Here is a 27709-nt window from a genome sequence, read left to right on the forward strand (position 1 = left end):
TCTAAGATCATCAGCTGATAAGTGGTGGGATGGTGGAATGAATTCTTAAGTTGTTCTGATACCAAATTTGGCATTTTCTCATCCCCCCACGCTGCCCCAGGAACTCTGTGTATACTTTCTACCTAGGAGAGCCACTAATAAAGTAGTTCCAGCTGCCTGCCTTCCTGGGGAAGGTGACTATAGCTAAGAAGGAGAATGATGAACACATTCACAGAAATTTCTGCCCAGACTCAAGGATTTCATGCCCAGATGCCTCCAAACTTGAGCTTGTAAAAGAGGACAGAAAAAAAAAAAAAGAACTCTTCTGTAGCCCAATAGAACTGTATGCCATTGGGCACAAACCACCTTTTCCAGCTGCATCTTCTGCCACACTCTTCTATCCAAACTGTGTTTCAAAGACCTGCCATTCTCTAAACATATCTCCCTCTTTCATTCCTCCCCATCATTGCATGTGCTGGGCTTCTCAGCATGCCCTTTGCTTCCAGAAAACTAACTCAAACATCATCCCTTCTATGTAATGCTGCCCAACTAAGAATGAGCTGTTAAGGAAGGTCCCTGCCCTGAGCTTTCCTTGTACAACTTGGACTTTGACTCTCTGGTGACACTTTATTGTAATCTATTTAATTGGCTGTTTGCACAGGTCCTTCTCTTCTTAGCCCCATGTGAACTGTGAGCTCCAGAAGGAAAAGACCCTGTGCGCCTCATCTCTCAGTTCTGGGCTTGGCATTCAGCAGGCATTTGATAGAGGTTGGCTAACTGAACGACAGTGTGTAAGAAGATGCTGAGTAATCTAAAAGAAGAGGTAAGTATTTGCTTTCTGGAGCCAAGAGGAAGGTAACTGAATGTTCAAAGGTTAATGTAATGTAATGTAATGTAAAGTATGGCGTAGTGTGATGGTTAATATTAAATGTCAACCTGATTGGATTGAAGGATGCAAAGTATTGTTCCTGGGTGTGTCCGTGAGGGTGTCGCTAAAGGAGATTAACATTTGAGTCAGTGAACTGGGAGAGGCAGACCTGCCCTCAATCTGGGTTGGCACCATCAAATCAGCTGCCAGTACAGCTAGGATAAAAGTAGGCAGAGGAATGTGGAAGGATTAGACTGGCTAAGACCCTGGCCTCCATCTTTCTCCTGTGCTGGATGCCTCCTGCCTTCTAACATCAGACTCCAAGTTCTTCAGCTTTTGGACTCTTGGACTTACACGAGTGATCTGCCAGGGGCTCTTGGGCCTTCAGTCACAGATTGAAGGCTGCACTGTCAACTTCCCTACTTTTGATGTTTTGGGACACAAAACTGGTTTCCTTGCTCCTCAGCTTGCAGACAGCCTATTGTGGGACTCCACCCTGTGATCGTGTGAGTCAATACTCCTTAATAAACTCCCTTTCATATATACATCTATTCTGTTAGTCCTGTTCCTCTAGAGAACCCTGACTAATACGCCTGGGAAGACTTCCTTAACTGAATAAATATTTTCAACTTGCTGTTTTCTCCAATTCCACCACTGAGCCCAATTACTTTCAGGCTTTGATTGCTATTCAAATGCAAATAACCAATGGAGACGTAGAGAATTTACTAAGCTCTTTTTAAAAGTTACCCAAATAAACACATATAATGTTTTTGACCCTCCTCCCCTCAAATTACCAACCAACAGGCAAACAAGCAAAACATCTAAAATCGTTTTTGTAGTTTACTTTGCATCGTCAGGCAGAAAATGAAAACTTAATGTAGTTAAAGAATAAAAAACTCAGTCAATTCTTAGCACTTGCATGAATACTGATTTTCCTCTACCTTGTTGGAATCCTGGATTATCTTCACATTGTCTGCTCCAAATTTATCTGCATAGAGCTTGAGTAATCTTTGGGAAATCTCGGACAGACCTGTCAGCTTAGGCTCTTTATAAATATACTCTTTACCTTCTTCTTCTTCAAAAAAGCCCTATGGAACATAATGAACCACCAATTTTATTAGACAATGCTAATCATAAATCAAAAGCAAAACAAAAAGCCATTTACTTAAAAAACATATACAGTTTTTGGTTGTCATCTAATCCATTGGTTAACACCCTATAAAATTCAAAATCGGAGAAGAAAACACAGTGAGAAAATAAAGTATCATCTTATAATCAGACATTAATGTAAATATTTCCTAGCCAGGCCAAAGAAACTCATGAAATATCTTACAAATATTATTTTCTCTATTTGTAGAACTCAATGGTACTACCTACTTGCATATATTTTGGGGGAAGAATGCCCTCTTGTGGCAGCTTGGGGTAGAACACGAAATATGGAGCAATTTTTGGCAGCATTCAAAGAGCAGTCAGTATCATTTTTAATAAGATCTCCTGTAAGTCTTTGAAACTAACATAAGAAATGGTGTATGGCATGTAAAGCTATTTAAATGGGCTGACGTGCATCCCACATAATCTTAGATGAAAAACCACAACACTTTATGTAGTTGTCGTAACAGAAATTACATGTGTTATGCTCCCAAGTACTGCTATTTAAAAAATAACTTTACATCAACATGACTTCAGGGACCTCCTGAAACTTACCTATATGTAACTTAATCATGCAATTCACCTTACTAAGAGATCTTTTACATTCTTGAAAAGGAAGACATTATAGGATTAAAAATAGCAATCATATCATCATTTTTATTCCACAAGAGCAAGTAGGTTTTAGCCTCTATTAATTTATTTGTCTGGTTTGAAGCAGGGGGAAGGGAAGATTCTATTAGCTGCAGATAACTAAGTGAAGCAATCTTTATAATTCCTTCTCTTTGAAGAGACACAGAAGCATATTTCCTGTGGAATACATGTGGCCTCAGAATACTAGATTAAGTTCGGAGTTAAGAACCCAAGGATATCTGGTTTCTTTTTTTTTTTTTGGCAGAGTCTTGCTCTGTTGCCCAGGCTGGAGTGCAGAGGTGTGACCTTGGCTCACTGCAACCTCTGCCTCCTGGGTTCAAGCGATTCTCCTACTTTGGCCTCCCAAGTAGCTGGGACTGCAGATGTGTACCACCACGCCCGGCTAATTTTTGTGTTTTTAATTAAGGTGGAGTTTCGCCATGTTGGCCAGGCTGGTCTCAAACTCTTGACCTCAGATGATCCACCCACCTCGGCCTCCTAAAGTGCTGGGATTACAGGCTATATCTGGTTTCTTCTAATTGTAGAGTTGACCCATAAGGAAATGCCTTTTGAGGTCTGGGTGAAGACACTGGATGTCAAAAGGAAACTTACCCATATTAAAAAATCAGTTTTGACTATTTAAAAATATTAATTGTTAAAAAAAGCATAGGCAAAGTGTTCCAGTGCTATTATTTTTTCATGGTGAGACAATATAAGAATATTGATTAAACTCACATCTGTATGATGCTTTATACTTCAAAAGCACTTTCATACATGTAAATAGGATCATCTTTAACAGGGTAATTTTTATTCTAAGTGGGCTGTGGCTGTACCTTTGCAGAAGCCAATGAACAAGGTCTACTCCATAGCAGAATTCTTGGCAATCAGGTAATCACCTGCTTCCTTGCACATCTCCCTAATTGACTTTGGGCTTTCTAAAGGTGGGAAATGTGTCTTCAACATTGCATGCCCAGTGTTTAGCACAATGCCTGGTCTTTAGGAGGAGGTCACTCTATTTGTTGAACAAGCAGATGAATGAAAGAGTTCTTAAAGGGCACACATCTTAAAAAGGCGTATGTGTACCAGGCATAACTGGAAAATAGTCCACGGCTTTAAATAAAGATGTTTTTATTGAACAATTTCTTCGAGAAATGTTCAAGACAAAATGCAAGTAATTATAAATGCCTTGACCCCAAACTGCTACAAAGTGTCATATGATGTTGAAAGCATGTAAAGCAGCTCCTGTCATTCCTGTAGACTTTGTAGGGGTAGTGAGGTCTGACTCCACTCCCACATGACTTCCAGCCTGCTATGTTTTTTTTCTGTTGCTGTCTTTGTGGAGTTTTGTCTGATTCAAGGTCAGGAGTTAGTGGCTACAATTGACAGACTGACACATCAGAGAAATAAGGCTTCTGAAGCTTTCAGGCGAATCCTCATGGGGCTAAAGCTGAAGCAACATTTGCAACTTCAATTTCAAGTAGAAAAATGTCTCTAAGGTTCAGGAAAAGATTTTTTCTTTTTCACCATAGTGTGAAAACTAGTACAAAGACACATTTTCACTGTAAAATTTTTCCCCTGACAAATTTCCGAATCTAGAGTGAGCAGAAAATGAGTGGTGGGAGGCAGGTAAAAATTGTCATCATCGGCTGGGTGCGGTGGTTCACGCCTGCAATCCCAGCACTTTGGGAGTCCGAGGTGGGCGGATCACAAAGTACAAGAGATCGAGACCATCCTGGCCAACACAGTGAAACCCCGTCTCTCTAAAAATACAAAAATTAGCTGGGCATGGTGACACACGCCTGTAGTCCCAGCTACTCAGGAGGCTGAGGCAGGAGAATCGCTTGAATCCAGGAGGCGGAGGTTGCAGTGAGCCAAGTTCGAGCCACTGCACTCCAGCCTGGGTGACACAGTGAGACTCTGTCTAAAAAAAAAAAAAATGTATTGCGGCCTTGCTCATAACCTGTGACTTTCTTTCATCCCTCCTCCTTGGGCTGTGGGATGGGAAAATTCAGACTCAGCAACCTACTTACTGGGAGGCTGTAAGGACCGCGCTTGGTAAACAGATGGCCTTTGGTGAGTGCTAGCTATGTTGAGGATGGTAATGATCATGACGCTGGTGGTGATGACAACAATGATGAAAAATCTCTGTATCTATAAAGCAATTTGAGTTCTGGCTTTTATGCAGCTTAACTCAGTTTTCAGTGCTCGAAAATACATACTTTCAGCTTCTCTTGCCTGGGCAACTGAGTTTTTCTTATTATAAAAGGTCTGTTGAAGCTCATTACAATATTTTGGCAAGTGATCAATTGGTGATTGGAACCTTTTTCTAAAGAGCTTGGAAATGTAAACCTGTTTTGTAAAATGAATAAGAAGGAGATGGAGGAGCAGAATAAACCATTTACTCTGCTGTCCACTGGGGTTTCTGTAAAGAGTTTTGAAGCCAGACAAATGGCAGCTCTGAAAATGTTTGGAATGCATGCTTACCTTATACCCAGGGAAACTATCAAAGCAAAGCCCACTGAGCTACAGACACTATCTGAAGGAAGGCTTCAATTTCAGCTCTGTCTATGATATAAATGATTTACAAACAGGGACACAGAGTTATGAAAACCAGGGTCAGTTTCTCTTTTGCTTTAGCCCCAAGGTTATAAGCTGACTGCATTTCAAGGCAATGGGAAATGTGATCTCTGCACTTCCCTTGCTAGTTTGATTTTTAAAATGTCATTTTGCAATGCAGTAAACACCTTCTTCTGCTCTGGTCAAGAAAGAACACACACTAGTTAAACAAGGACTGCATGGATTATGAAACTTTAAGGCAATACATTATGGTAAAAATGTACTTCAATAAACTGACAACTAAAAGCATTGACTCCTCCTCAGATGCTTTTGCAGGTACTTCAGAATCTTGCAATGTCCCTGGATCATCACTGTGTTGTCAAATATTAGGGCCCCTGGTATTTTATTAGACTCATTCAAAGTTCACAAAGAGAAGAATGTATTTGAGGAGGAATCTAGTATACAAAAGACAGGCCAGAAAATGTCAATACTAGGCTAAATGCTAAGAGAAGAGAAGCTACATGAATGAATTTCTCTGCATTCATGTAGCTTCTCTTAGCATATAAATCTGAACTCAATTATGACATTTAATTATACAGTATAGATATGTGGCCTAGATCAGCGACTTTCCTATAGGTGGAGAGCTATATCATGTCCCAAAGTGGAGATGATGGTTTTCCATACTACGCCTGCACCTTCCCTCCTCCCCCAAACTCCTTTTTTATTAAGATCCTGAGATGCAAGTACACCCATATAGGCATGACTGCAAATTATGGAATCTATGGCCTTTGGTGGATAGAATAAAATTCTTCCAGGTCTTTTACTTAATTAATTCCAGGGGCATCTGATATTTTAAGTTATGTAATGGGTATTCACTTGCTTTCATGTTAAATACCAGGGCCTAAGGACTTCATTGATTATAGTCGATGTTTGCTCACTGCTGCTGTTTCATTACTATGGAAATCAATACCTCAGGGACACTTTGGAGGACACTTTGTATAGGCTGCTATATGTCAAATTTCCATATTGATGCTGATGCCGGGTGTTGCATTAGACAATTCATGTTGTGCAAGACTTGCATTTTTTTAAAGTTCCTGCTATGAACGATCAGTTTTAAACTTGTTTTCTAGTGTCTGGCTCATTACAGACACAATTAGTATTAAATACCCCAGCCAAAACTATAAAATGAGAGCAGTGGTCTGCGTGGGACACTAAAAAATTGTACCCAAAGGCCTTTGTGCAGGCAAAGAGCCTATTGCATATCATATTTCCATAATCTTTTTAACATCATTGCAAGACACGTCAACTTGGATATTAAAAGGTAAGTTTTACAGGGACATAAAGCACCATTATGAATAAGAAATCATTTCTGACCATGGAGATTATGCTAATCAAGTAGTCAAGATTTTATCTTAAATCTTCGGAACCTTCATTCTGTACACGTTCGGGGGAATGCTCAAGTCTACTTGGTATTTATTTATCATGGAATGTGAAGTGATATGTGCTGTCTGCTCCTGTTGAATCCCATAGTTCTCACTCTCCATGTGGTGTCTTGAGACAGGCATTTGAATCTCATCTGAGCAATGATGAATGAGGCTCTAATTTGCTGCTTATCAGGATGACCTCCATTGGTTCTCCTTGTTCAAAGGTGGCTGAGTTTGAACTTATGGAGTGTCGTGCTTAGGCAGGTTCTCAGTCAGAGAATTTAACAAAACACTTTGCCTTTTAAGCTCAGACTGGAATTTTTTTTTTTTTTTTCTTGAGGCAGAGTCTCACTCTGTCTCCCAGGCTGGAGTGCAGTGGCACGATCTTGGCTCACTGCAAGCTCCACCTCCAGGGTTCACGCCATTCTCCTGCTTCAGCCTCCCGAGTAGCTGGGATTACAGGCGCTCGCCACCACGTCCTACTAATTTTTTGTATTTTTAGTAGAGACAGGGTTTCACTGTGTTAGCCAGGATGGTCTTCATCTCCTGACCTTGTGATCTGCCCACCTCGGCCTCCCAAAGTGCTGGGATTACAGGTGTGAGCCACCGCGCCCAGCCTTGGAATTTTTTTATAAAGACAAGTGAGAGTACTGCAGCATTAAAAAAAAAATCAGGTGTAAAATCAGCACACTTTACTGAGGAGTCTGAAAGAAGAATAAAGTTAGGTCATTTGCAAGGGCTCCCCCCAATACTTCCCCACTGCCCCCCCTCAGTCTATTTAGTACAGGGGTTTTCAAGTATTCTTTTAGTAGGTGAGTTAAGGGCCCATAATCCCAAATTTATAAATGAACATAGAAAATGCTGGTATGGTATGAATGTGGGAAGGAATTTAAAGAATTACAAAAAAGTATGTACTGGTCAGACAAGTAGGGCTGAATATGGACAATGTGTAGATATTAAATGCTTTCTCTTTCCAGCTTAACTGACAATAATTAGGTTGAACCATATAAAGTTGCCATTTTTGTACATAAAAAAGTGGTTGAATATAGGCAATTTCATATGACTCAAAATAATATGAAGAAAATCCTTTGTCATAGAGCTCTGGGTACTGGCAGGTTATTTTGGACATGGCTTGTTCTCCAAATTTCTTACCTTGCTCCTTTCTCCATCTCTGGAGACTTACCCAGACATATTGGGTAAAGATTTATTCCCTGGTTCATCTTTTATGTTTGGAATTAGTCCCATCACCTCTGAGAATGCTTAGAGCTCACCACCATAGACCCCCATCACTCTAAGACACTCCTTCAGAAAAAACACAGTTTTTTCAATATCTTGGGAGGTGCTTACCAATAACCATCACTCCAACTTCCAAAATTCTGACCATTCTGGTCTCCTTAATAAGCTGCAACTCATAGTGGCCTGAAATAAGTAGACGATCTACAATACCAAGTCTATGCTACATATATTTAAGATACGTGGTACCCATACTTATCTCTGTGTGTGTTTGTGTATGTAAGGCTTTCAGACTACATCTACCTTTAGGCAGAAAGCATGTATGAAAAACAAAGGATACATTTTTGTAATTCAGATAACTGGCATAAACACAACTTAGTTAAAGAAATGCAGGATGACTCCAAAAATGAATGAAAGCAGGATTATCTCTCCCTTTGTACCAAATGGTGATTTGCACAAAAAGGTTAAGGTTCAGTAAAACCATACAGAGGGAAGTGTGAGGGGTGTTAGAGCATGCAAATGGAGAGCGAGAGTGAGTGAGAACTTACCACAGCCTGGAACAATCAAGACCAAAAGAAGAAAAGAGTAAACATCTGCATTAAAAACTATTTGAAAAGCAGCGTGATTCACTTCTACCTGCTTTAGAGCCCATATCTCATATATTGGTTGCAGAAACCATCTGGTAGGCAATCCTGTTTTCATGATCAGGTTATTAACGGGGTTTTTTACTTTTTCATTGGAAGGAATGCCTGAGGCTTTATAGAGTCATGTCTTGGTGACCCAGAAGCACATCTTTTGTGCTACTTCTGTGCTGCTCAGTTAGCCTGTGGCCATCTCCCTTGAAACTCTGTTTTTCCCTTTCAATTCTTCTGCTCCCACATCCCCTTCCCGACTCATAGCATTTTCTGCCATTTTTCTTGCTGTCTCACCAATGTCACAAATTGTATATTTTCTTCATGGCTTCCAAAATGGCTCCAAAATGCCATTTTCTCTTCTCTCTCTTCCTCTTCTGAAGGTTCTCACACTTCTCTCTCTCCCAATGTGTGTTCTCACTTCAGATAGTTCAGATTCTTTTCCATGGACCCCAAAAATGTCTAAATTTGCTTTTTTTTTTGGTATAGATTGTTTATGCAGATCCCCATTTTTCAGACCATTCGTTTCTCTGTCTCCACTATCCTGATATTCCTGTGTCCTGAGAAAAATCCCGGCTGGATTAATTTGTTTATAATAAATGGCTACTTGGTGATACTTATCTTTTCCAGGTAGAAAGTATCTGCCTTTATTAATTCAAAGGTTAGCTTTTTCTTTCTTTGATGGAGTCTCACTCTGTCACCCAGTCTAGAGTGCAGTGGCGCGATCTCGGCTCACTGCAAGCTCTGCCTCCTGGGTTCACGCCATTCTCCTGCCTCAGTCTCCTGAGTAGCTGGGACTACAGACGCCTGCCACCACACCCGGCTAATTTTTTGTATTTTTAGTAGAGATGGGGTTTCACCATGTTAGCCAGGATGGTCTCGATCTCCTGACCTCGTGATCCGCCCGCCTCAGCCTCTCAAAGTACTGGATTACAGGCGTGAGCCATGGCGCCCAGCCCAGAGGTTAGTTTTTAAGCTGCCTTTGGTGAGCAGAGGAAAATATGTATTTTTCAAACGACTTCAATGGGGATTGACCTAGAATGAACATGCTGGAGTTGACTCCTTCAGCTGCAACCTTAAGAACAAGAAGCTGAGGCCGGGTGTGGTGGCTCACGCCTGTAATCCCAGCATTTTGGAAGACTAAGGTGGGTGGATCATGAGGTCAGGAGTTCAAGACCAGCCTGGCCAACATAATGAAACCCTGTCTCTACTAAAAAATACAAAAATTAGCTGGGCATGGTGGCACCTGCCTGTAATCCCAGCTACTCGGGAGGCTGAGGCAGGAGAATTGCTTGAACCGGGACCCAGGAGGCGGAGGTTGCAGTGAGCCGAGATCACGCCACTGCACTGCACTCCAGCCTGGGCTACTGAGCGAGATGATGGGCTGGGGGCAGAGGAAGTGTGAGGTCTGAGAGCCACTGCCATTCCGAAAATAAAAGCATGGGATGTCTATCCACACAAGCAACAGTCTAAAATACGTCTGCTGAAATATAATAGCGTTATAAGCCTTCCTGAAAAGAAAATGAATGGTGCCTGGGTTTAGCCCATTGAAAATGTTGCTCAGAGACATTCATAATTAATATATAGTATGTTCACTTTCAGGCCAACACTGTGGCTAAGTAATATTTTCCATCTTCTTCATTGCTTATGCAGCAAACTGGGAAAAACAACTTTGAAATTACATTGACTTGCAATATAGGAAACAAAATAACCATCTGGTATTTTGTCTAGAAACAGTGGTAGTTCGAAAATAGGAGAAAAGAAATTGTGTGATAGTAAAATCAAAGGTTTGATATGGTGGAGCCCCTAGGAATTCTCTTATTTCCTAGAATATTAGGAATGTTATTTCTTAAAACATATTCAATTTAATTTCACTTTAATATATGGCGTAAACTTATAATTAGATATTTTAGGGTGAGCTGGAAAGAAGAGAGTGTTGAAAAATAAATGCCCTCTTTCTTCAAGAAGTTAGAAATCACTGTTAACTCAACCCATGGATTTCTTTGCTCACTTGTTTCCCAACTTTGTACATTCCTATGGATAAACATATAGACCATCACATCCAGAGAAACACTCAAGTATAGTCAGACACACCCACACCTCTCCATTCACTGGTACACACAGATGTCTCATAAAGAATGAAAGACAACATTCAACTGCTCAGCAGAATTTATGGGCCGTGTTATTTCTGGTGAACTTACCTGCCCATAAAATGCCACACGATAGTAGCGACCAAACAGCCGCTTCTCCGAATTCACCACCTCTGCCACTTTCAGATATGACCGATGAATGTCGTAGTAGAGATCTGACAATTTCTGAAACCATAAGTGAAAGAGTTTCATGAAGATGATGCTGTCATACAAATAAGGGAGTTTTTAATTTTGAAAACTGTAAGTAATTTTCCAATTCAACATAGGATATTTTAATTAACTTCTAGGGGGTTGGAATACATACTTTGAAGTCTCGTTGTTTCTCAAAGACAGCAATGATGGGCTTGTTGACATCAGCAATGAGTTCATATCGCTCAGACTTCCAGAGAAACTCCACACACATGTATAGCTGCTCCACCAGGATATTCTGCAATTCCCCCAATCAAAATAAGATTTTACATGATTAGGGTTGTGGCTCATGCCTGAAACTTGGTTTCCAAGCTGTTGCATTGTCAAACTTTTCCCTCTGTTACTGGCATTTAAAACCCAGCAGGGGATCGTGGTGTCATCTTGGATTCTTGCCTATCCCGCACTGCCGTTACCTAATTCGTGCCCCAAAAGTGCTAATTTAAATCTGTGAAATGCCTTCAGATCTGTCTCCTTCTTCCCATTCCCACTGCTACTGACTTCGTACTCCCTGACCCCTGCTATAGTTTTGAGCGAGTCTGTTTTCCCTCTCCAATTGCTGCTCTCCTGTAATCTTTCTTTGTAAAACATAAATCTGATCATGAGATCTCCAGTGCCTTAAACCTTTGTGGGAACTCCAGTATGTAAACTGCTGTCCAAACTCTAGCATGGCCTTCAAGAAGCTCCACAATCAGGCACCAACCTCCCTCTCAGTGACCCCTTCTTTCAATGCTCTGTCACTGACTTTGCACCTTGGCCATACCATATACCACTCCATTATTAGAATACCCTCTGACCTCCATACTTTTATCTGTGTTATAGATGCACCTATAAGAACCTTATTTCACACCTTCAAGTCCTATCAAGACTCAGCACAAAAAAAAATGAAGAGCTTTTATTTACATTCCATTCATCACCATTTCAACACTTCCATGTAAAAAAAAAAGTTCCCCTTCTGATTGCAACTGTATATGATACCTAGATTTGGCCACTGGGCATCTGTTTTTGCCTGGCCATTCCCCACCCTGTAGGAACTCTGTCTTTCTCAAGATCCTAAATTCTTTGAGAGCAGGAATTATGCCTTATTTTTTTTCCCAGCCCTTACCTCAATTCCTTTCATATACTAGTGGTTTAATAAATTTTCAACTGAATAAAGTTATATAAGCTTTAAAGCAAATGTATGATATTATTGGAATGTTTTCAACAATTTGTTTTAAGAAAAGGTTCTTAAACATTATTTAAAGTAGTTAACATAAATATGTAATTATATTTACTTCGTTTATTTGCAATATATGCTAAATTGGTGTAGAACCATTTGTAAAATTGTATTAAAATTCATCTGAAAATTTACTTTCTGTATAATTTTTTCCATTTATGTAATACTGACCTAAAAATCAGCTTATAAAATATTTTACTTAATGAGAGGAGTTCTATTTTCTTCACCAGAACTATTGCTAAGTAATTCTCAGTAGAAAGTTTCTTTTTTTAATTAATGAAAAATAACTCTGGTTATTTTCCATAACAGAAGGTTTTCTAAAGAAACTAGTGAACTTTTACGTCCACCTGCATTTGTAAATAAACTTGCTAATGCTTTTAGAAAGAAAGCTATGATCAGTTCGCAAAATTTAGCATCCCTTATCACCTTTACCAAAAAGCCAAGATTTTATCTGATAGAAGAGCTGATAATATACATTTGAGTCCATCTTAGAGAAGTAAGACTTAGTTTAAATTTTCGCTGAAATCTGGTATCTACTAATCTTGGCTTAATTTTAGCCTGCATTTCATTTTGTCTAATTAAGTTATATTATAAAATAGCTGTAAGCTTGTTTCCCCCTTATTTAGCTTAATGTCACAAGCCAATGCATCTCTTTCCTTCGTTACTGTACATGAGATAATTTTGGTCTAACCTCATTGTATGGTGTATCTTGCATTCCAGAATCCTCTTTCATCGCTCCTTCTTCCTTAATGTTTGGTGTAATGCTCAAAAAAGCTGGCCATCCCATAGAGAACATGCCTTGGGAGGACCAAGCAGAATAAAACATTATTATTTGAGACAAATTTTGCTTAGATTAGATAATGCCTTTCTTCATGATGTTACCAAGTGGTAGTATTACAAAGCTCACACAATCAACAAGATGGTTAGATTATGACTATTGATAAATGCGCTCTGCCAGGCAAACAATATTCCCCTTTTTATAATTTTTGTATCATTTTCAGGTGGCATTTTTTATAAAGAAATAGCATGGGATTATGGATAGAACATAAGATTCGTGGGTAGATGTTGCGGTTCCAATCTTCTGGTTTAATCTCGGAGACTGTGTCCCTCTCTTGTTAAACTGGGGACATTAATATCTCTCTCAAAGGATGTTGAAAGGATTCAAAACATTAATATTTGAGAAAATACCCAGTACACTCAGCACATTATAAAGACAATGCTTGTAGGTGGGTGTGTGGGTGCCTGTAATCCCAGCTACTTAGGAGGCTGAGACAGGAGGATTGCTTGAGCCTAGGAGTTTGGGGCTGGAGTGAGCTATCACCATGCCATTGTACTCCAGCCTGGGTGACGGAGTGAGACCCTATCTCTCCCACAGTGGCCCCCAAAAAGACAAGACAATGCCCAATACTTGCTTTTTTTTTTTTTGAGACGGAGTTTCACTCTTGTTGCCCAGGCTGGAGTGCAATGGTGCCATCTCGGCTCACTGCAACCTCCGCCTCCCGGGTTCAAGCGATTCTCCTGCCTCAGCCTCCTGAGTAGCTGGCATTACAGGTGCCCGCCACCACGCCCAGCTAATTTTTGTATTTTTAGTAGAGACGGGGTTTCACCATGTTGGCTAGGCTGGTCTTAAACTACTGACCTCAGGTGATCTGCCCGCCTCAGCCTCCTGAAGTGTTGGGATTACAGGCGTGAGCCACTGCGCCTGGCCAATACTTGCTATATTTCACTCTTTTACATTATGTAGAAACCTTTTCAAATTTTCTTAGTATCTTAGGCACCAAGATTTTAAAAGGTCTGTCTCTACAGATACATGTGAAAACAGTTGATAATGGGTAACATTCCCAGAGGAGAGATAGATCTGAATTGTGGGGAATGTGAGTGACTAGGAGCACTAGCCGGAGTGACAGACCAGCCCCTGCACTTTGGCTCCAACACAAGCTAACCATGACATTTGGGGCAGATTGTTTAGCTTCTCTTGTTTTTCTCACCCATAAACAGGAGGTGATAATAGCACCTAACTCACAGATTTGTAACTGGCAACTAACTGAGACATTGCTGGTACAGGGCTTAGTGTGGTGCCTTCTATGTAGCAAGTGCTTTTTAAGTTATAGCTAATACTTTTGTGGCATGTTTTTGTTTTTAATAATCAGCTCATTGGTTATGTAACTAAATGATCACTCCCCAAACATGCTAGAAATTATAAATATAATAATTATTGCAATCTAATCCTTGCTTCTAAATAAATTTTATTTTTCTACTTTTTATAATAATATTAAACATATATTAAACTATATGATAGTTAATTGTAGGAGAAGTCACAACATACTTCTTGCAGGATGATGATTACTTATTAGTACAACTGAAGCAGCTGTACTTTCTGGGGTCGCCTATCTTCACCTATATTCATACAATTGTGAACATTGTAGGGAAGGGATAATTTACTCCTTTGACTCAAAAATATCAAAATAGAAAAGTATATTAAGGGCTTCAAATACATGCCAATGACATTCCCATATATGCTGATGATATATGCTAATTAGAATATGCTAATATATCATAGCATATATCATCAGCTAATGTATCATCAGATATATGTTAATGTATCATAGATGATCACCTTCCTAATTTTAAAGTTTACTCAACAAATATATCCTTTTCTTGATGGACATACATTATATTCTCATATCACCTTAGGTCTAACATTGGGCATTTAAAGCATTTTGAATATTAAAGATTCACACAACTTTTTGGTATCTAAGTTTCCACAAGTTCTCAAACTAACACCTGCCTTTACTGGTTTTCTTCAATTTTGTTCTTAGAATTTGAAAGTCTTTATGGAACGTTACGGCATCTGGTTATGATAAGCAATAGATGAGGAGGAAGGGCATGTTAAATAAGGCAATGATGTGTTTGATGACATGCATATAAATATCAGGCTACATAGGAAGTGTGACACTAAGCAAGAAGATTCCTGAATTTTTGGGTGGACATGAGCCATGGGTGCCATAGGGTGCCACATCTGGCTTCTTCTCCAAGGTCCTTAAACAAGTGACCTCACTGTCTCTCAGTTTGCTTTGGTCATTTGGTTCAAAAGTCTTTTTTTTTTTTTTGAGATGGAGTCTTGCTCTGTTGTCCAGGCTAGAGTGCAGTGGCGTGATCTCAGCTCGCTGCAACCTCCACCTCCTGGGTTCAAGCAATTCTCTGCCTCAGCCTCCTGAGTAGCTGGGATTTATAGGCACCTGCCACCACGCCCGGCTAATTTTTTTTTTTTTTTTGTATTTTTAGTAGAGACGGGGTTTCATCATCTTGGCCAGGCTGGTCTTGAACTCCTGACCTTGTGATCCACCTGCCTTGGTCTCCCAAAGTGCTGGGATTACAGGCGTGAGTCATGGCACCTGGCCAGTTCAAATGTCTTATATGCAAAATCCAGTGAGACCTTTTAGAAAACATACAAATATTTAAATGAATAAGGGATGAATTATGTTTCTGAAATATAGCAAGTAAAGTCCATTTACATTTCGTTTAAGTCTTTTGATTTTCAACATCTAAAAATGTATTTCAACATCTAAAAATGTTGTTTGTACACGGAGTTTTCCACTGCATTTGGAAAGTTAAACCAGTGTTATCAAAGAGACTACAGTTCATAAAATTTGGATTCAAACAAATTTTTGCAATTGAATGTAGATTTAATGTGTAAACTATATCACTCACTTTTTTGTGCAAAGAGTAACTCTTTAGTCATTATTATAATTTCAAAAAATCAGACATTAATGATGGAATATTTCTAAAGGAAATCTGTACCATAAGCCATATGTTATAAATTGTCAGTTTATACTTTTTAAAAATGAAATGGAACATGCTGATTATAAAGTCCTACATATATAGAATATATATATGTATATATCTTCATTTTTCTTTTTATTTTTTTGGAGACGGAGTCTCACTCTGTTGCCCAGGCTGGTGTACAGTGGTGCTATCTTGGCTCACTGCAACCTCCGCCTCCTGGGTTCAAGTGATTCTCCTGCTTCAGTCTCCCAAGTAGCTGGGATAACAGGTGCCTGCCACCATGCCCAGCTAAATTTTGTATTTTTAGTAGAGACCAGGCTTCACCATGTTGGCCAGGCTGGTCTCGGACTTCTGACTTCAAGTGATCTGCTCACCTTGGCCTCCCAAGTGCTGGGATTACAGGCGTGAGCCACCGCGCCTGGCCCTATCTTTTATTTGGAATAAACAGTTTTATTACATTTAAAAATTAAAATAGATTCCTCTTGCAATTTCAAACAATTTACCAATTTCAGAATAAACATCCCTATGGCAGACTGGCATGCAGATTGGTAGCTAAATATGGCTGTAACTCATAAACTTGAATGTTGGAGAACATACAGTTCTATTTGCTGACAACTTTTCAGTTATTTAAATTTTATAAATTTTGGATGGGATTTCTGAATGGCAGGAGTTTAAGTTTTTTGCAGAGTAAGTTGGGTAGATCTGAGACAGTTTTTGCTTCTAAGAATATATTTAAGAAGGTTTCACTGAAGTAGAATTTGAGCAGCAAGTGGATTTCCTCTGCATTGGGATAAATGAGCAGTTAGGTCACTCACTTCCTCCACTGGGAGTTGTTAGTAATGAGTTGCTATCACAGGGGTGGGTATCCTCCGAGAGCAGGGATGCTGTGCAAATCTTTTCCACTTTCCAGTAACCTATGGTAGTGCAAGATGAGGTTAGGACATTGCTACATGTTTATGTTAATACAAGCTTTAGAGACTACAAATCGTTAGCCAATGATGCATTCTCGTTTTGAACTAAGAAGTTGACCATCCAGTTAGCCTTTGCTGTACATAGAATAAATAAGTCAATGGCATGATAGACTTAAAATGTTTAAAGTACAGCATAATTAGAAGTATCTGTGAAAGCGATTATTACTTAAACATAACAGATTAATAAAATGTAAAATTAATACATTATTTCTATTAGGCTTCAATGTGTTGATATCTAGGCTTTTTGCCTCCCTCATGTGGTCATCTTACCCTTTCTTTTCAGATACTCTGCAATGAGAGCAGCAATATGGATGTAACACATGGCAGCCTGTAATGAGAAAGAAAATAAAGAGGCTCAGGGGATGGAGTTTAATATAATTAGGGCTAATCTTCCAAGGCGAGTCAGTATTCCATATCAGAATATGTTAGAAGGATCCTTTGTAATCACCAAATTGAAAGCAAGGATCAATTGTATTTCCAAAAAAATTCACCATCAAGAATAAAATGAATATTTGGGTTTTTGTTTGTTTGTTCTTGGTTAGTTTGGAGATGGGTGAAGGAGCTGGCCCAAAGAATTTTCCCATAGAATTCTCTTCCTCCCTTAAAGTCTAAGCCTAGATTAAAAATAAATCATAAGTCTCCTTTTAAAATTAAAACTATAACTCTAGTATTTAGATATAAAGTGGAAATAAAAATATCTGCCTTCTAAATAAGTTTTTTTTTAACCTCCTGGAATAGCCCCTCTGAATTTGTGTTGCCTTTAAAATGGTCACCTCACGAGTACTTGATTGACTAGTGTGACACAATGTAACACCCGTGCTCCCCACAAACTAGATTATATGGCTGATGTTATATTTTAATCTGTCTCTTATGAAGCCCTGAACGTTGCTGAACACATATTAAAACTCGACTTGCTAAAGATTCCAAATGACTTCAGCTTTTTCCTTTTGAGGTTTTATGGAGAAATTTCATCATTTTCAGAGCAGCCCAAGGGCTTCTCATTCTTGTCCTCACTAAATTGCTGCCAAGCCAGCCTTCTGGTTTCCATTCCAGAGTCCCTGATTACCACATGTGTTTAGAAGAGCTTCAGAGTTTAGGACTATCCTAGACAAATTAATCTCTTCCCCAAAGGGACATAGTTCCAGAATAGCGTAGAACTTCCCATTTGGTACTAAGAAGACCTTGGGTGCTATGAATTGCTGCTTATGATCCACCCAGTATTGAAACTGACATAAAAAGTTAAGTGTTGACTTATAATCCTCGTGCAGTGGACTCTCCTCACATGGTGCTAAGGATCATTCATTTTTCCATGGCCAGTTCAAACTAGCTGTAAATGAGGACTGATTCCCCCTGCCTGAGTTAACTCACTATGGTGGCAAGCTTCCCCATTCAACTCTAGTTGCAGAGAAGAAGTTTTAAAACACAGAACATTAATTTAACGACTCAATTCCCAGACACCCTTACCACACCCCTCCTTAGCCTCAGGTTTTTAGCATTCAGCGTTGCATTACAATTTCTACACCTGCAGTTGCCCCCACTGACTCTGGCCTTTATTTGATATCATTTACTTAGCGTTAGGTATCCTTGAATGCTATATGGAAATGTATTGTATATGATATATAACTGAGTCATTTCTAGATTAGTTGAAAAACATGGCATCCTTTTCTAGTCCATGCTGTAAATGAAAATCCAATTTTCCTGATAAAGAGGACAATACTGATGGTAAATGACCAAGCCTTGGCTAATCACCTCAGATAAATCTCCGTTTCTGGCATGAATCTTGGCCATACTTTCCAGCCAGGTCCTGCGTAGTTCAGGAGTGCTTGCGTAGGAGTTTGCCAGGCTGTACTGGAGATCCACCAGCATCTCGGGGTCCTTCTCGTGCTCCTTCATCTGAGCTGTGGCCATCAAAACAGTCCTTATACGCTTAGTCAGGTCCTTCACCTCTGCTGGGAAATTGCTGTTCTTTGGAAAAGAGAGAGCCTGGGTCATTATCTGTTTAGAATCTATAGGTTAACTGACTTTAAGTTATGCTATTAATTATGGCTACGCATCACAGTTTGGAGCATTCTATATATAGTTATAAATGAGTGCATTCTATATATGTGCATTCTATGTTTTGTGACTGTGGATACACACATTTGAAGATAAACATTTCAGGAGCCTCTATTCTTTTGTCTTCAAGAACACCTTCTTCTGGTGAAACGTCCTGATTGTCTTTGAGATATATTCCCCTTCCTGACTCTAGCTCATGTGATTTGAACAGGTCTGACTTTACTCCTAGAGACCATGGATGGCATATAACACTGGCCTGGCCAATTCTATTTTTTGATCCTCCAAGCTACAGTGATTGGTTTAGGGATAAGCATATTATTTAAGCTTGGATCAAAGAGATTCAGTTGTGGGACTTTAATTGGAACTATCAAACAAGGTGATTTTCTACTCATAAGATACTACCAAGGTCCTCAGAATTTCTGAGAACATGCCCAGGGGGATAGCCTGTCTGGAAATGAAGTAAACAAAGAGGAAAGCTGAGCTGACAGACAGTGAGAGAGGCAAGATCGAGGCAGTAGAGGGATGGGTCTGAAAATTATTTTAATCCCTGGGTCCAGCCATGACTGAAGCCTGGCTCTAGACTTGGACTTTTCAGTATAATGACTACAGGAGAAGTCTTCAGAAAGTGCTAAACAAAAGATAAGATGAATTTTCCCCCAAATAGAGTTAGGAGTGTCATTGTATTTCTGGATATTTATGGTAAATCCTCTTGTTCTAGGCCATTCAACCACACATATTGGGAATGCCTCTTAACAGATCACATGCTTAAAGTGTAAGAGCTGCTTAACGATTCAAACAATAAACTTGATAGTTTACTTTGAGGAGTGCTCAAAGCTCAAAGTCTCAATAAACAAAATAAACAATTATTATTATTATTATTATTATTATTTTAGAGACAAGGTCTTGCTCTGTTACCCATGCTGGAGTGCAATGGTGCCATCATAGCTCACTGCAGCCTCAACTCAAACTCCTGGCCTCAAGCGATCCTCCTGCCTTGGCTTCTCAAAGTGTTGGGAATACAGGCGTGAACCACTGTACCCAATCTATTTTTATGATTTTGATATCTCACAAAAAGAATCCACTTCAGATTTAAAAAAATTCTGCAGTAAAAGCCCACAAAGCATTTCTTACTTTCATTTGCTTATCTCCATTGGCGAAATTATTGGTAATTGCAAGCGAATGTTGAAACCGAGAGCCTCCAATCCCAGCATCGGCTATTAACTGGCTCACAGCTTTGATGAGCTAGAAAAGAAAAAAAATGAACTCTCAAAAACAAGACCAGAAATAGTCTTCTTAAAGAAATCCACTGGGCTGGGTAAATGTATTATTAGTTTCTCCCTGTAGGTCCAATAAAAGAAGTGTTTATGTATTAAAGCTCCAGAACGTATTATTAAATCTAGGGTGTTTCCTATAATCTTAAATACCTAAGAGAGGCTGCAGGAATCTTGGAATCTTGGGATGCCTAGAAGAAAAAAAATTACGTTTGGAATTTGGCGGGGTTTGACCTGTTGGAGCTAGCCATGGTTTCCTGAGTTGTTTACTCCATATGATTCTATTTCCTGGCAGAAGAAAGGAAAGTACAAGTGGAGATAGGGCTCTGCTGATTTCTGCCCAGCTGTGCCCCTACTATTAAACAGAACTGAATGCTGTGGGCGTCTTTAAGGAGGACGCTAGTGGAGGAGTTAGTGACGGCTTGCCCTGAGGACAGTAGGCTTTAAGCACTGCTGAAACAGATCAGTGGTTTTAACAACAGCATTAATGAAAATTGGCAGCACTTACTTGTAAGTGGGACCGGACAATTGACTTCTGCTTGTTAAATTCAAAATTCTTCCTCATGAAAAAGTACAGAAGGGCTGAGGCTTCTGTCTGAGTTGACCGTGACCTGTGGTTACAGCATTTTAGGACTTCGTAACAGAATGATCCACAGAGGTCAGCAGGCCCTTGAAAGAACGCTGAAGGAAACTGCAGAAATGGAAGAACGGGTGAAGGGAGCAACATGCCTTCATTTTGCTCTGTTCATTCTCATATTTTAAAATTCCCTAAAACAAAATCCCTCTCCTTTTTTTTTTTAACTTGGTCTATTTTTTTTTTTTCATTTGCAAGTGAGGAGGATAGAATTTGTTAAGGCCTATGTTAGCATTTGTCTTTTTTCCTAGATAGAATTATTCTCTACATTGTATAAGTATCCTTTGTATCAGTAACTGATGACAATCCAAAATAACAGTGAGAGCTTTGAAATGACCTCAATTCACCTGACATTGTTAAGATCACAGGTGTTATTTACAAGCGTCCTCAAAGGCGGTGGCTGTATCCACTTTAATGTGGAATCTTTAACTTGATATGCACCCCTTTAAGTTCAAGGGGTGCATTTTACCTAACTTGGTGCCGCAAACACAGATAACTCAAAGAATTGGTGACCAGATGCTAATTGTCACCAGATGCTAATATCTTCTGGTATTTGAGCAGACAGATTGTCAAGGCTGTGCACTCATTTTGAGACCAGGAATCAATGTCTAATAAAACCCAAATTGAAGAAAACAATCCTTCTTCCCTCCCTACTGAGAAACGCAAGGATTCCTATAGGTTTACTATTCTATGGGTTTACTGTCATCCTACCTAAACTTCATTGAAACCTGGAGATCCTTACCTTGCATACAAACAGTCTCAAGGAGGCAAACACATGCTTCAGCGCTGTGGCTGACTGATTGACTTGGAAAAAGAGCATGTAGGTATCAAAGACCCTTTTCATCAATGAATTTTGACAGTCACATTGTTGGAGTTGTCTCTGGAAATTCAATGCAGATGTTATTCAGGATAAGTGAAAGAAAATTTTCATTCTATCAAAAAATATTTATTGTGAACCTGTCATGTGGTAAGGCACTATTTTGAGTGCTAGAAATAAAGGATTGAACAAGGAGACACAGTTCATGTTTACTGTGAAACTTACATAGCAGTGATTGAAAAAAACATGACAAATGGAAATAGACTAGGATGATGTGATTGAAAGTAGTTGCTTTGGGGGTAGGATTACTTCCATAGGGTAGTCAGCAAAGACCTCTCTAATGGAAAATTGGCATGTGAGCTCAAAGGGGCCTGCCCTGGAGAGATCTGGGAGGACTGTCCTGTGGGGGAGAAACAGCTAGTAAAAGGGCCTTGATTTGGAAAGGAGCTTATGAGTTCAAGGTTGAGAAAGAAAAGTAGCTGATGCAATGGCGAGTTGGGTGGGGCCGGGGAGAAATGGGAGAGAGGTCACAGGTTCTTGAAGGCACTAGTAAAATCCTTAAAATTTGTGAGATTTGAGTGACATTTTCATGGCCCAATAAGAATCAATATAGTCATTACTTTCTCTACCACCATGCTGACATTTCATCTGAAATAGGGCTTTCTTGGCATAATTATGCTGTTCTGTGTAGACTTTATTCAAAGAATCCAAGTTTTCCTGGCTCAATCTTTTTTTTTTTTTTTGAGACAAGGTCTCACTCTGTCACCTAAGCAGGAGTGTCGTGGCACCATCATAGCTCACGGCAGCCTCCACTTCCAGGGCTCCAGTGATCCTCCCACCTCAGCCTTCCGAATAGCTGGGACTACAGGCATGTGCCACCATAGTTGACTAATTTTTTAAATTTTTTTGTAAAGATGAAGCTTCACTATATTGCCCAGGTTGGTCTTGAACTCCTGGGCTCAAGTGATCCTCCCTCCTTGGCCTCCCAAAGTGCTGGAATTACAGGCATGAGCCACCACACCTGCCCCGGCTCAATCCGTAATGTACTAGCCTAGGTGTTTAAGCTCATTTGGTAGAGCTGCAAATGTTTTTAATAGTTTTATTGAAGTATAATTGACATACAATAAATTGAACTGTGATATGTATAATTTAATAAGTTTAACACTGTCATACACCCATGAAACCATCACCACAATCAAGATAATGAACGTATCTATCACTCTCAAAAGTTTTTAAATACTTTTTTTTGTAATTCCTTCCTCCCATCCTTCCTCCACATCCCTAGGCAACCACTGATCTGCTTTTTGTTCCTATAGTTTGCATTTTCTAAAATTTCATATAAATGGAATAATATACACTGAGTAATACGGTATATACTCTTTTTAAATTTGGTTTCTTGGGTTTCACCCATGTTACAGCATGTATCAGTAGTTTATTTCTTTTAACTGCTGAGTAGTAGTCTATTGTATGGATATACCACAGATTTTTAAATCTATTCACCTGTTGATGTATACTTGAGTTGTTTGTAGTTTCTTTTTTTGCTATTAAAATAAAGCTGTCATGCATATTTGTGTATAAAGTTTTATGTGGAGATATGTTTTCACTTCTCCTGGGCAAATACCTATTACAGTATTGGAATGGCTGGTCACAGGACAGATGTATGATTAACTTTTTCAGAGACTGCCATACTGTTCTCCAACATGTTTTTACCATTTCGCATTCCCACTGTCAATAAATAGGAGTTCTAGTTTCTCCACACCCTTGCCAAAACTTTGGATGGTCAGTCTTTTTAACTTTAGCCATTCTAAGTAGTGATAATCATTTCATCAAAGATATCTGAATGTCAAATAAGCACACAAAAAGATGCTCAACATTATTAGTTTTCTTTAGATCTAGTTGTAAATTTAATATATAGGCCCATTTATCTCTTCCTCTTCTACTGAAAAAGTACAGAGTCACACTATCACTCAGCCCAGCTTGCCTGAGAGTGAAGCAAGATAAATGAGGAAGAAAGACTATTTGACAATAGTGAAATGCACACGTGTACATATCAAACAAACATTAGTCAACCTGTGATAAAATCAAAATCTCATCTTTAACATGTTTTCCACTCACACTTAGGTTGATTTATATAAGGTTAATTGATTTCATAAATAATTAAAAAAAACCATGTTTTTGACTTCACATGGTTTTTCTACCTCATATTTCATCATTTTTTGCAGAAAATGTTATCATCATATTCACCTGATGAGTCTGTGTGAAGAGGGATAACAGGTCCAGAATAGTGAGGCAAACCTCCGTAGCTATATTGGCCTCAGTGTCTACATGATGCACGATGTCTATTTCATTGGAGTTGCCTATAAAATACAAAATAAAACATGCGTAAAAGTCTAAGACAATGCTTTGTACCCTATAAAGGATTTCCTTTCATTACAATATATTCAAAGTTTGCTGGCATTTTGATTAATAATTTATTAAATCAAAGTGTTTTTGTTTGTTCAGTTTCTTCATTGACTGAATTAAAAGTACTAGAGTCTTTAGTGTGTGTGCCCTTTCCATATATCAGTTGCGGGGTTTCCATTGTTTCTGAGTTCTTTTCCGTTAATTTGGCCAAAGACAGGGTCATATTTCTTTCATAATCAGGCTGTCTCAAGTTCTAAACTTCTGGGCTAATAGACCAAATGTACAGTCTCAGTGGACAGTCTTTATGTCCCCTCGGAAAGTCACAAAGTGTCTTTATCGGTTAAGGCATATACTTTCAAACAAGTAACTGTGGGCCATGTGCCCATAATTGCTAACAATCTGTCAATGAAAAGAGTCAAATTCTGTAAAATATTTGAAGAGATTTATTGTGAGCCAAATATGAGTGACAATGGCCTGTGACACAGCCCTCAGGAAACCCTGAGAACATGTGCCCAAGGTGTTTGGGCTACAGCTAGGTTTTATATGCTTTAGGGGCACATAAGACATCAATCAATACGTGTAAGATGTACGTTGGTTTGGTCTGGAAAGGCAGGACAACTGAAAGTGGGGGAGAGGGGCACTTCCAGGTTATAGGTGTATTCAAAGATTTTCTGATTGGCGATTGGTAGAAAGAGTTTATCTAGAGACCTGGAATCAATAGAAAGGAAATGTCTGGGTTAAGAAAGGCAATTGTGGAGACCAACATTCTTATTATGTAGATGAAGCCTCCAGATGGCAGACTTCAGAGAGAAGAGATTGTAAATGTTTCTTATCAGACTGAAAAAGGTGCCAGACTCTCAGTTGATTCTCTCCTGGATCAAGAAAAGGTCCTGAAGAGGGAAAGGGGATTCTTTACAGAATGCAAAATTTTCCCCACAAGAGACAACTCTGCAGGGCTGTTTCAAGACATGGCAAAAAAAAAAAAAAAAAAAAACATATTTGGGGATAAAATATTTTGATTTCTTTCCTTATCTGTCATGTGATGTTATGCCAGAGTCAGGTTGGAAAGTAAGCCATGTTATATAGGGTTAACTAAAACCCCTCTGATGAGACTGGTGTGACTTTCCAGGCCCCTGAAGAATTTGGGCAAGAGAAGAGAAAAGGTCAGAGTTTAGTCCTCAAGTTACATGCTTACAAAACGCTGGCCTCCATTTTACCCTCATTCACAAGCTGGAGTGTGTGCATCTCTAAGTTCAAGAGGTCACCCTTGCTGCTTCTGGGACATGGGCAACTTTATCCCCTCCCCACAGAGGAAGCAGTAATCATCTGTTTGACAGCAGCCCCCATAACCTGCACAATGCTGAAAGTAACTTGTTTCCAAGGGAGCTATGCTAAACATATGATATTGAGGGTTTTGCCTCTCCCCTTTCTTCACCATAGGGCACTACATTTTTTTTTAACCACTCCCTGGTGAGTCTTTCCCTTAAGAAATATTCCCAGAGGTACAGCAAACCTTAAAAACTGTGGTTTTAGTGCATTTCATGTCCTACACATACCTAGAGAAAAACTGGTAACCATCTTGTTCCTATTATTTCAGTTTACTTACTGGTCATGGTATTGTCTAACATCTGTAAGAGTTTGGGGTTAGAAAGTGCATTTTTGCCTCGAATTATAGGTAAAGTTTGTGATCTGTGCTGCTTATGGCCTTCATGACTGGAAGTGGAGTGCATCCTGAAAACAAAAAAAGAAAAGTGGTTAGAGTTATTTGGGGATGTTATAGCCAAATAACACTTGTTCATTCTCAAATGTTCTAGATTGAGTCAAATATTAAAAACTAGTTTGGAAAGCAACTTTTTATTACAAATATTAATTATAGGTGACATGATGAGAGAGACTTTTTAAAGTACTTTTGGAGAAATTTTATTTAAGCCAAAATAGTGTTCACAAGGGTAATCTGTAGAATAACAGGTCATTGAGTGAAATCTATTCAAGCATATCATTATTATTTATGAAATAATGGGATTCTGTGAATGTTAAGTTGGCTACTGGCTGATCAGGAAGGCACAGTGGTGGACATTAAAAAGTACAATATTGTACAGCTCAGATGCATCAAATTATTTTTGAAGAGATAAGTGTAAAATCAGGTTCTAAAACAACTCTTGCTTTCCGAGGTATTTGTATCTGGAAATTCCTGTTGATTTGTCATTTCACTGATGTCATGTCCACAGGGGGCTGACATGTGATGGTTGTGGGAGGTAGGTAGTTAAAGGACCTCTGTGCCTCTGTGCTTCCAGGGCAATGACAATGGCCTGCAATGACTCATTCAACACCCCATAGCATTTCCAGCTGGGAAAAATGAGCCAGTGTTACTGTGGAAATAGGAATATTTCCTACTGCTGACTTTATCATTTGGCCAAGGAAATAGGTTGATAATTCTTGGGATATGTGCTGTCATAAAAACTATTTATAACAACACTTATGGAAAGAAAGCAGCATTTGGAAATACCCTGAAGTATCTCCTAATTCCTCCTTTAGGCCTTTACCTAAAAATGAGGCAGTGGTCTTCTCTTTCTCCCACTTTTCAAGGCTGTTTTGGTTCTGGCTAAATCAGAAAACCTGGATGGGTGGAGGCCAAGGAGATGAGACTTTGGCTTTCAATAGCCAGGGGAGCCTGGGTCATTCCTGAAGCTAGAAGGAGTGCGTGATTCCTTGGCTCTAGGCTTTAGGCATTTGGATTGGCTTATTTCTAGGTTTTGAGTGTAGTACAGTCTGAACTTGTGGAGGAAAAGCCCTGGTTTCTAGGAGGCGAGGGACAGAAATGGCCAGGACCCATCCAGATGTCTCAGGAGCAGCCTGAAATCTAACCCACCACACATCTACAAAACTTCAGTGACCTCAGGTGGCTCACTATTATTATTAAACATGGAAACTAATTCTTTACTGTCCTCTATTATTTTTTGCAAAAAATGTCCATTACATTTTTTTTCATTTACTTTCTCACAAGGGGGCAATTTCAAAGGGCATGGAGGGAGGCACAATTTATTCTATGATTTATTCGCTATGTACGACTCTTATATTTCTTTCTAAAACCCTTTCTAAAATATTCATAATATATATTATGATGATACCTCTGGGAAGAATAAATCAAAGTGGAGATAATTTTAGCAAAGAATTCTCATTTACAAGACCCAGAGGAGCTCCGAGGTAGAATTTCAGGGCAAATGTTTCCCATTGGTTAGGCCGGTGAAGGATGACTCCAGGTCCTATCTGCTAGTCAAACCAGTCTAATGACTAGGAAATCTAAAGTGAGGTTATGGGACTATCCATGCTTCCTCATTGCCTTTGACCCTTTAAAAAACAATTTCAGCTTCAAGAACATTGCAAAAAATTATAATTACTGAAAAGCCTAGGGAGACATGATTCCACATTTCCGTTTGTCACTGGAAGATTAGCTAGCATTAAAAGAGGCATTTATTGGGCCTATGTCTCAGGTTTCATTAAATGAAAATACTCATTAATGTTCAGTCTATGCAAGGGATTGTGCTCTAAGTGCACACATATATGGTGTACTCCTTATCTCTTTGGTCTCTACCAGCTAGTAGGGCAGACAGTAAAGTATCTAAGAAGTTTCTTTAGGTAGACATATAGTTACTTGAAATCTGCACTTGGTTTGAATATATAAATAGAAATATGTGTGTGTGTGTGTGTGTGTGTGTGTGTGTGTCTACCCCTGACATGTGCATATACAG

The 27709-nt window shown here is 39.2% G+C and overlaps 1 protein-coding gene across 24 annotated transcripts in view, besides 1 other annotated feature; it reads right to left on the reverse strand.

The window, feature by feature from the left end:
• DOCK10 (dedicator of cytokinesis 10) overlaps positions 1-27709 on the reverse strand; it is a 277379-nt gene that overhangs the window by 11260 nt on the left and 238410 nt on the right. For 18 of the 24 annotated variants that reach the window (XM_047444930.1, XM_047444929.1, XM_047444922.1 and 15 more), the window contains 12 exons: positions 25567-25691; positions 23802-23914; positions 21483-21620; positions 20615-20797; positions 19967-20077; positions 18530-18745; positions 17051-17108; positions 16625-16723; positions 12715-12821; positions 10926-11048; positions 10673-10786; positions 1789-1935 (listed from right to left, as the gene is read on the reverse strand). In XM_047444930.1, the coding sequence (XP_047300886.1) occupies positions 1789-1935; positions 10673-10786; positions 10926-11048; positions 12715-12821; positions 16625-16723; positions 17051-17108; positions 18530-18745; positions 19967-20077; positions 20615-20797; positions 21483-21620; positions 23802-23914; positions 25567-25691 (1534 nt within the window). Of the gene's footprint in view, positions 1-1788; positions 8394-10672; positions 10787-10925; positions 11049-12714; positions 12822-16624; positions 16724-17050; positions 17109-18529; positions 18746-19966; positions 20078-20614; positions 20798-21482; positions 21621-23801; positions 23915-25566; positions 25692-27709 lie in introns of those variants that run through there. The other 6 variants (XM_047444926.1, XM_047444925.1, XM_047444923.1 and 3 more) reach the window with 4 other exon arrangements.
• Positions 2264-2363: an enhancer, noted in NCBI's record as "active region_17187". NCBI's record gives its function as "activates an Ori minimal core promoter by ATAC-STARR-seq in GM12878 lymphoblastoid cells {active_cell/tissue: GM12878}" and the evidence as "EXISTENCE:reporter gene assay evidence [ECO:0000049][PMID:35858748]".

This window comes from Homo sapiens, chromosome 2 (assembly GCF_000001405.40).
Source record: "Homo sapiens chromosome 2, GRCh38.p14 Primary Assembly".
Taxonomy (NCBI): Eukaryota; Metazoa; Chordata; class Mammalia; order Primates; family Hominidae; genus Homo; species Homo sapiens.